The sequence below is a fragment of the Homo sapiens genome, chromosome 3, assembly GCF_000001405.40.
Source record: "Homo sapiens chromosome 3, GRCh38.p14 Primary Assembly".
NCBI classification, from domain to species: Eukaryota; Metazoa; Chordata; class Mammalia; order Primates; family Hominidae; genus Homo; species Homo sapiens.
The window spans coordinates 78515486-78525716 of record NC_000003.12 but is presented as its reverse complement, the minus strand read 5'-3'; the positions used below and the strand labels follow the sequence as shown (position 1 = coordinate 78525716).

The window sequence follows — 10231 nt, the reverse complement described above, 5'->3', positions numbered from 1 at the left end:
TCCCATGTAGTTGGGAAGCTGAGGCAGGAGGATAACTTGAAGCCCAGCAGTTTGAGGCTACAGTAGCTATGATCACTCCACTGCACTCTAGCCTAAGCAACAGAGCAAGACCCTGTCCCTCAAAATAAAATAAAATAAAATAAAATAAAATAAAATAAAATAAAATAAAATAAAATAAAATAAAACATATAAAGGAAAATTAAATATTATTTGGCTCCTTCTTATCCTCAGTGTTGAAAAGATTTTGAGTGCTTCTAGATTTTTGTTTAGCTGGATAGTTCCCAAACTGACTGAACTCTCCAGGTTGGTAATTCTTACAGAGTTTTCCTGTCACTGGATCTATGACTTTTCCAAATATAAAAATTATCTCAGCCAGTTCATGTTTCACACTGTTCATTCATGAAACAGATAAAGGTTTGAGAAGTGCAGTGTCTTCAACTGTTCACTGCTGAAAAACACTGAGTGAAGCAGGTCTTTCACTTATTAAAATACCTTATTAAATAGGAATCCAGAACAAGCCTGGTCACTATCACTTTAGTAGCTTTTTGCATTGCTGTCATAATCACCTTCCCCGTTATTTGTTTGGCATGATCAGATGATTGTGCTATCGACATGATGTGGCTTTTGTTATTTCCTAGCTCTATTGTTCTGTTGCATGGCTGTTGGAGCACTTGCTGGCTCTATTGGCCTATTTTTGAGTTGATTCTTTGCCATCTTAAATCTACTGTTGAGCCCATGTGGTGTATTTTCTATTTTGGTTATTGTACTTTTCAACTCGAGAATATCCACTTGATTCTTTAATATGATTTCTGCTTTTTAATTTGAGATTCCCTACCTAGTAACTCTCTTGTCTTCAAATTGTTTTCTAACTATTTACACATAGTTCTCTTTCATTCTTTGCATCAACTCGTAATAGCTTATTTGAAATCTATCAGCTAAATTTACTATCTGGGCCCACTCAGGGAAGTTCTATTGACCTTTTATTCCTCTAGTATGGGTCATGTTTTCCTGTTTCTTTGCATATCTTGTAATTTTTTTGTTAAAAATGAGACATTTTATTTAATATATAATGACAACTCAGAATTCTAAGTGGTTTTTTTTTTCCTTCTCTAAGGGTTGTTTTAGTTGCTGTGTTTTTGTTGTTCTTTTATCAATTTGCTGGGATTTAATCTGCAGAATCTTGCTACCCACAGTGCGTGGCTGCTGATGTCTCCACATAGCTTTATTATTTTTTTAATTTTATTTTTCAGCCTGGACTCTTAGGAGTAACCTCTAAATCTGTGTGTCTAAACAGTAAGCTAATAGTTGATCAGAAGTTGTGTTCAAATACCTGGAGCCAGTTAGCCTTCCATCTTCTGCCAATAAATCTGTGTGGGTTAGGGAGCACATTTTTTGGAACCTTATATCTTTTCTATCTCTGAGTGACTTGTGAACAAATTCCCAGGCAGTCAGCATTGTGTAGAGAGCATGGGCCTTCTCAGGTCTCTTCTGTACATGTGCACAGTCTCCCAGTCAGCCGAAGATACAAGGATAACCTATTAAACTCCGCTATGGCTCTTCCATTTTCAGGATCTCCATGTTAAGTGTCTGGCCAAGCACTGATCTTCTGTTGATCCCACACAACTCCAAAACCTCCAGCTTGTATAGATGTGTGCTTTCGCCATTTTACTAGCAAGTTTTCTCCTTTTACTGACAAGTCCTGTATGTGTGAATGCTTTCTTCTCTGGATGCAATCGAATCAACTTCATCCAGCAGCAAAGTTTCTGTTTTTTATAGCCAGCCCCACTATGTTAGAACTACATCACCGACTGGGCATGGGGGAGGATGGCAGCAATGCCAGGCAAGAAAGCCACAGACTCCCACTGTTCTTTCCAAAAGTTTAGCAATTTTTCATGAATAAATATGTCTCAACGAATTGTTTCTTTTGGGCTGATTTTTAGAGCCCTGAAATGGGTGATTTGAAAAACAAATAAAGTTTTATAAGCTTTTTGTGAGGGATTTGCCAACTTCTTGCTATTGCTGGGAATCCCATTCTTTTTTGCTTTTGATCTAGTGTGCAATTCAAGGTGCCTGTTATTGTCATGTCTCTTTACTCTTCTTTGATCTATGAGAGTAACCTCACCATCTCACCACTTTTTATCCTTTATGACAATGATATTTTGAATAGATGTTAACATAGATTCCTCCCTTTTCCTTATCACTTCATTCATCTTTTATGGTTATGTTTTTTTCCAAAATAATTTCATTCTCTTCTGTCTATGTCACCACTCTAATCCAAGTCACTGTCATTTCTTTTCTGGATCACTGCAGTGATATGTCTCCTACTTCCACTCATTCTTCCCCAAAGTCCATACTCCACACAACAGAGTGATTTTTTTTTTTAGAGGTGTAATAGTTTCTGTATTTAGGCAGAATTTCTAAACAAGGAAAATATTACGTATATATTTTCCCCATTTAATTATTTTAAGTGTATAGCTCAGTAGTATTAAATATATTTACATTGTTGTGAAACAGAGCTCTAGGACGACTTTTAAATAGTAAAGGAGAGGCTGGGAACAGTGGCTCACACCTACGATCCTAGCACTTCAAGACACCAAGGTGAGAGGATTGCTGGAGGCTGTGAGTTCAAGACCAGTCTAGGCAACATAGTGAAATCTCATCTCTACATTTTAAAAATAATAAATAAATAAATAAATAAATAGCCAGATATTGTTCCTCTGCTTAATATCCTTTTACTTCTATTTATAACTTTGTTTTTTGTACTTATTTTACTTTTTCTATTCTTAGAAAAAGATCAAAACATATTATTACAGCTATAATGCAGATATCTGGCTAAAGCCTATCTCTTTGGTTTCCTCTCATCATATCTTCCTTATGTATTATACTCATTCAAATTAGTCTTTTAGCTCTATGCATTAGCCGAGCTCTGTCCCACATGAAACCTTTGCACTTGCTGTTTCTTCTACTTGAACTATATTCCTCCTCTTCCTCATATGTTTGGCCCCTTCTCATTCTTCATGAATGAGCTTTAATGTCGCGTCCCCAGTGAGAATTTCTCTTACAATCCCATCTAATTCAGCATTGTTGATTCCTTAACTACTTACTTTCTGATAAATTTCCCAGGTCATTTATTTCATGATACTGATTATAATTGGTGACCATACTGTTTATTTGTTTACTTATTTATTATTACCTCCTCTAGCCCATGTACTCTGTGAAGATAAAAATCTACTTCACTTACTCAGCACTGGGTCTTCAATTCTTTATTATTATTATTATTTTTTTTTCTGGGTCTCCAATTCTTTTAACAGTGCCTAGCATGTAGTAGAAGCTCCCTACCCTGATCCCTCGTTAAGAAATTAAGTGAAATAAAAGAAAAATCATCTTCAAATGACATTGCTAAGAAACATTAGATAAAGAAACCCATGAATACACTAAAATTAATAACTTGAATAAGTAAGAACATAATTTCTCCTAGTGTTTCTCAATCACGTTTATTAGTTAATAAAATGGCTTTAGATGTTTATTTTGCACAAATAAGATACGAAGCCAGCATGGTTCAATAAAAAGAACTTCAAAGTAAAAACACAGGAGCATGTTTATGGCTTTATCTCCCATTTAAAGAAGATGGATACTAGTTTAAAGTTAAAATTGTCTGTTTAAAAATTGGGATAATATAGGCATTGTAACCTAGGAATATTCTTTTGAACTCCAGAGACTCATGAAATGGATGCCAGTCTTGTATTTCTACAAAGAAAATACATTTATGTAACAAATTTTACATGAAAATGGATGATTTAATGTTATTCATCTTCTGGAAACCAACACATAATAGCAATACCTCTCAGTAAGTCTAATCTTCATAATTCCATCATTCTTTCTAAAAGATTTTAGGCACTTAATCAGTCCTTGTCTTGTCTCTTGAAAAACTTTTTACCTAAACATCTTTAAAATCTTGGTTTCTAAGGAGAAAAAATATGAAGCTGCAACTTAGTGACTACTAATTCATTTAATCTATAAATCACCAAGAACAGAAAAATAATACATATCATTTCTAGAGCTTGCAACTTCCATAAATAAAAATTTCATTTTCTGGTACTGACAACCTGAGTTTCTACTAGGTAGTAAGCCCTCATCATGTCTCTTGCTGTTTATGGCTAAAGTAAATATTAAAGCCCGCATACTTGATAGATCTGCAGTGGTTCTCTTTTCCTCTCAGCTTTTGAAATGAAATAAGAGTTCAATAAAATGGTGCACTACAAGTCTGTTGTTCAGATGCATACAGTATATCTCTGGATATATACAGCATATTCATTTCTTCCAAATGTTTTATTGACCTTGGTCCTTGGGGGTGATGAAAAAACAAAAACAGTAGAAGCTGAAGTGCTGACGTATTTACAGGGGGGATTGGCCACTATTATCAAGAATAACTTTCAATTTGATTTTTTTTTTTTTTTTTTTTGGTGTGGACATGACTAGGATATGACTGATTAGGATCTGAAAACATTCAGGTGCTTTTCACCAAGAGGCATAATTAAAGTCTAAGAGACACTTAGGTTTGGGGATTTAATTTCAAGCAGTCCCTCTTCTGAAATTTGAACTTGGATCTCATCCAGGTTTTTCCCTGTCTCATTTTAAATCACCATTATATACTGCAGTAGCAACCATGCAAATTAGCACATTCCTACATGTTCAGGGCATTCGACAGAGCTTGTAAGGATAATATAAGAGGGCACAGACTTCCCCTTTTCTTTTTCTTATATTTAATTTTTATTAAAATTTTCAGTCGATCTTGCAGGGAGAAAAAAACTAGGTTTATTTCTAACTGACAAGCGTCTATGTATTCTTAACATAGTGAAGCAGAAAACTAGAAATAATTTCAGGAAAGGGAAAGAGACTTGATAGGGCAATAGTGAATGTATTACCAGGATTCTTTCTGTTATAGAAGACAAAAACTCAGCTCAACAAATATAGGCATAAAATATAACTTATTGGTACATTGAATTTGGTAGTTGAGAGCTCTGAAATGTGGCTGATTTCAGAGAAGTTGAGAGCCAGAGTCTTAGGCCATTCAAGCTGCCATAACAAAATATTTTAAACTGGGTAATTTATAAATAATAGAAATTTATTGCTCACAAGTCTGGAGGCTGGGAAGTCCAAGATCAAGCCTTCAGAAGATTAGGTGTCTGCTGAGGGCTCTTGCTCCTCATAGATGGTACCTTCTATGTGTCCTCATATGGCAGAAGGAGTGAACAAGCTGTCTCAGGCCTCTTTTATAGGAACACTAATCCAGTTTGTGACCTAATCACCTCCCCAAGACCCACCTCTTAATGTTATCACTTTGAAGGGTTAGCTTTCAACTTATTAATTTTGGTAGGAAACAATTTCAAGCCATAGCATCAGGAGACCCAAACAAGGTTATCGTTTTTCTTGATACATCTTTTTGTTCAGCTTCTCTTGAACAAAGGAATGGTGCTATGGTCTGACTACATCCCCTGCAAATTCACATGTTGAAATCCTAACCCCCAAGGTGATAGTATTAATAGGTAAGGCTTTTGGGATATGATTAGGTCATGGGGCAGAGACCGTATGAGTGAGATTAGCGCTCTTATAAACAGGCCTTGGAGAAGGCTTGAGAAAAATCCCTCACCTTTCCCATCATATAAGGACACAGCAAGAAGGTGTCATCTATGAGCCAAAAATGAGACTTTCACCAGACATGGAATCTGTGTTGATCTTAGGCTTTCCAGCCTTCAGAATAGTGAGAAACAAATTTCTGAGGTTTATAAGTTACATAATTTGCAGTATTTTGTTTTGGCAGTCCAAATGGACTAAGACAGTTGGTTTCTACCTTTCCAACTTCAGGCAAACACTTATAATATGTTGGAGAAGCTGGTTACCTGGAGACATCTAGTCACATTCTACCTATCTAGGATCCAAAAGAAAAGGCTTTATCCTTATCAAGTCATTCATTCCAGAACTATTTATTGCATGCCTATTATGTGCCAGACCTCTCATGAAGGTTGCATTCTACTGGGAAGAGACAGAAGATAAACAGATGAAACAGACAGACAGAACTGTGTGCCCAAATCCCCCTTTTCTTTAGAAACAACTTCAGTGCTACTATTAGATAACCTGTGAGAGTTCTGCCAATTAAAAAGTATTACTTGTCTTTTATTTCTTCTGTTGCAAACTCTAAGCCATTGATGGTTTTGCAGATGGAAGGGGGCCAAGTACCAAAAATGTGGACAGCCTCCAAAGCTGGAAATGGCAAAGAACAGCCTCTGGAAAAAAATGTTGCCTTGCTAATTTTAGCTCGGTAACACCAACTTCAGACTTTTGATCTAAAAAACTGTAAGATAATACATTCTATTTTGTTTTAAGCACTAAATTGCTATAATTTGTTACAGCAGCAATACGAAACTAATATACACTTTATGTGCTACCATTGCTTGCAGCATATATATCTCCATTAATTCATGCATTCTTCTTCTTTCTCATGTCTTCCTTACATCTTTTACTTACCTCTCTCATGAGAAACCTTTTTTCCATGACCATTTACCAATTACAATTTTACCCTGCCCTTTCCTACAATTAATTGGTGATCCTAAGGGAAAGTAATTCTGACTAATCTTGGATATTTCATTTAGAGATTAATGATGAACATTAGTTATTTTAAAACGTTTCTTTAATTATTTTCTGCTTCTAGTTTTACATATTTCTAGTGTGAGCACCTTTGGGTCCATGGCTTTACAAAGAAGTATGTTCCTGATTTTATCCAATATCATGCATTTAGGAAATATTTATTTAACAGTCACTATGGATAGGGCATAATGTTATGTACTGCTACAGATACCTGTATAAGAAATAGTGTCTATATTGTAGAACTGATAGAAAAGTAATCTTCTTGTAAGATATGAGCCTAATTGATGGGTTCTAATAAACAAAATCCAGGCACCGGGAAATCTGCTTTGAAGGCATTTATTAGACATAGTTGTTATTTAGTAAGTATTAAATAAAAATAATATGACAGTGATCTCCCTATTGTCCTAATATGTTTAAGACTGTCTACACAAATTAAATTCTGATTTTATTGCATCTTTTAAAGAAGCAAATATATTGCCTTCTAGGCTCCCCTATATTAGAAGAAAAAAATCAATACAAATAAATGATTTCATCCCTTTGCTGGCATCATATTTGCCCTGAAACAGTTTGCATATTATAACATTTCATTTGCTCTGCTTTTAAATCCTGGGAAAGCATATGTATTACGTCTATTGCTTTGTTATAAGTATCAGAAGTCTGTGTTGTTTTCTTCCTACACATAATGAAAAGCAAACCCATTTCTGAGTGATCAAGCAGGGAGGAGATTTTGAAGTAGTATGCTCTGTTCATTTATTTCCAGCACCCTTAGTCCCCTAAATGTAAGAATTATTTTAGACTTGTTTTAAATCAGCTTTACTACAAAACATTTCCCTCCTGCCTGGGTTTCAAAGCTTCTTTGAACAGCTTGAAATCATTAGGGAGGGAGGTAGTGGCAAAAAAAATGGAGCTTCAAAGACCTTGCTGTACTGAAACAATACACCACACTCATAGCTAACAAATCAACAGGGAAGACACTGCAGGCAAGGTCAAAGCTTAAAATAAGGTCACTTACTCTTTCAATGGTGTAGAGACCCGTTTGCTGGCCTAGAACACTATTCAAGCAGGCATAACCAAGAGAAAAAAAAATAATTTGAAATGTCATCTGCCCTGAAGATGTCACTTACAGCTCAGTTAAATAAGAAAACATCTATGAGAAATGGAGTGATTTGATTGTTTTATGAGTGTTGTGAGTCTGGCTTGCAATCAACTCAATTCAGGCTCTGAACTTTCAAGTCTCGAATGGGGCTGATTGCATTCCCAGTACAAAACCTCTTTTTCCTATTACTTACTTAACAACATAAATATTTTCCCAAACTGACATCTCCTAATTGCAATATGAAAATTGCTCTACTTCACCAGTGTCCATTTTTGAAAGATTTGATAATATATCTCTTCTAATACCCTGTATTTTGGCAAGTGATGAAATAGTGATTACGTGTGTGGGCTCTAATACCAGACTGCCTTAGTTCACAAATGAAATATGCCACAATCAGTGCAATTTTGGCCAATTAATCTGGGAATGCCTCTTTTTCCTCTTCTGTAAAGTGGAGCTGGCATTAACCACTATCTAACCACCTCTTACTTGCTATAAGAATTAAATGAGATAGCACTTGTAAGATAATTAGAAAAGTAATTGTTACATGATAAATCCTCAATAACTGTTAGGTATTTTTATTAGTCAGCATTCTCCAGATAAACAGAATCGACAGTATTTTTATATGTGTGTGCATGAGAGAGAGAAAAAGAGAGAGATTTTAAAAAATTGGTTCACACAATTGTGAAGCTTGGCAGTCAAAAATCTGCAAGGTAGCCCTGCAGGATAGAGGTCCTGGAAACAATTACAGCTGGAGTCCAAACCTGCCAACCTGCTGGCAGAATTCTTTTTTGCTTGGAGCAGGTCAGCCTTTGTTCTCTTAAGGCCTTCAACTGATTGGATGAGGCCCACCCACATTATGGAGGGTAATCTACTGAACTCTAAGTCTAATGATTTAAATGTTACTATCATCTGAAAAAGACTTTCACAGAAATATCCATAATAATGTTTGACAAATATCAGGGCACCATGGCCCAGCAAAGTCAACACATAAAACTATACATTTGCTATAGACAGAATGTTTGTGTCCCCCTGAAGTTTATATGTTGAAGCCCTAAGCCCCAATGTGATAGTATTTGGATATGAAGTCTTTGGGAGGTAATTAGAGTTACATGAAGTCATGAGGATAGGGCCCTCATGATGAGATCAGTAGCTTTATAAGAAGAGAAAAAGAGAGAAAAGATCATGTGAGGACAGAGTGAGGAGGTGGTCACCTACAACCCGAGGAGAAGGCCTTCAGCAGATACTGACCCTGATGACACTTTGATCTTAGACTTTCAGTCTCTGGAACTGTCAGAATATGCTCCTATTGCTTAAGCCATTCAGTCCATGATATTTTGCTGACTAAGCCATTATCATGCCGTTATTGTCAATATATAATCTCTACCTCAATATATAATCACAAACTGAATAACATAATGGGAAAAGAAGTCCGACTTGCTGGAGAAGACCTAGACCTTTGCTATTCTCCACCTATCAGAGCCTTTGACCTTAGTCATGGGAGCCTGAGTGTGAGAAAGTTGGTTTAAATGAAAAGGAATTTCATAACTTTTGACATTACCTGAAGGAAATAGACAACTATTAATAAAGTACAATATACGAGATGATAATAAAGTTTTTACCTCTATCAACTAGAAATCCAAGGCATTTTTTTCTATTGTCCCTACTAGATCAAAATTTATTGTCACTTTGGTAATAAATAGTAAGAGTAGTGGGCAGGATTATTTCCAAAAAGGTGTTTTTGACATATGCATGTCTTTCTAGAAGAAGTGGACTAGGCCTTTCAGTTCACTTCTTTACATCTCTTTATCTTTAGCATATCAATCTGCAATTCTCTATCAGATTATTTCACCTTTGCCTTAGAGCACTTATTTCCACTTTTTTCCCCCAAAATTGAATTCATTCTAATGATTTCACTGCTAATTGGTGTAGTCTATAACACAATTTTATCCTGGCAAATACTGGCTTAGGGGGCCACTGACCCACTCCACTTCACAGGAAATCTCATATTTTGAAATGTCTTTCTTAAAATTTTGTAAGCTTCCTTCTAAGGACTAGGCTGACTGTGAGTCACAGTGCCTTCTGGATAAGGTACTCTCATCTGGAACAAGGACCCTCATAGGCTCTGGTCCCTGCTTCTCCTTTTTGAGGTGTTCTTTGACCCTTTACTTTGCATGGTGATCAGATGCCCCTAGGGCTCCAGTTTGTGCCTGTGGGGATTAGTCAAGGTCCCATAGTTGGGTCCTGGTTCAAAAGAGTTGCCCAGTGAGCAGATTATTTCTATTGGCCTGCAAGATATTTTTTTCCAAGATAGCATGAGATTGGGCTGTCAGAATAGGAATGACATGTTGATTTTTGGTGACTCAAAATGTTTATATAGGGATCTCCCCAATAAAGCTTTACCAGGGAGGGGTCCTGCATAGAGTAACCCTCAAGATGGCCTTAAAAGAGTAAGATTGGATCTTTAAAAATATGCCTACAGAAATTGCCATC

General features: G+C 36.0%; 1 pseudogene; it reads right to left on the bottom strand.

The window, feature by feature from the left end:
- On the bottom strand, positions 210-635 carry MRPS17P3 (mitochondrial ribosomal protein S17 pseudogene 3; annotated as a pseudogene).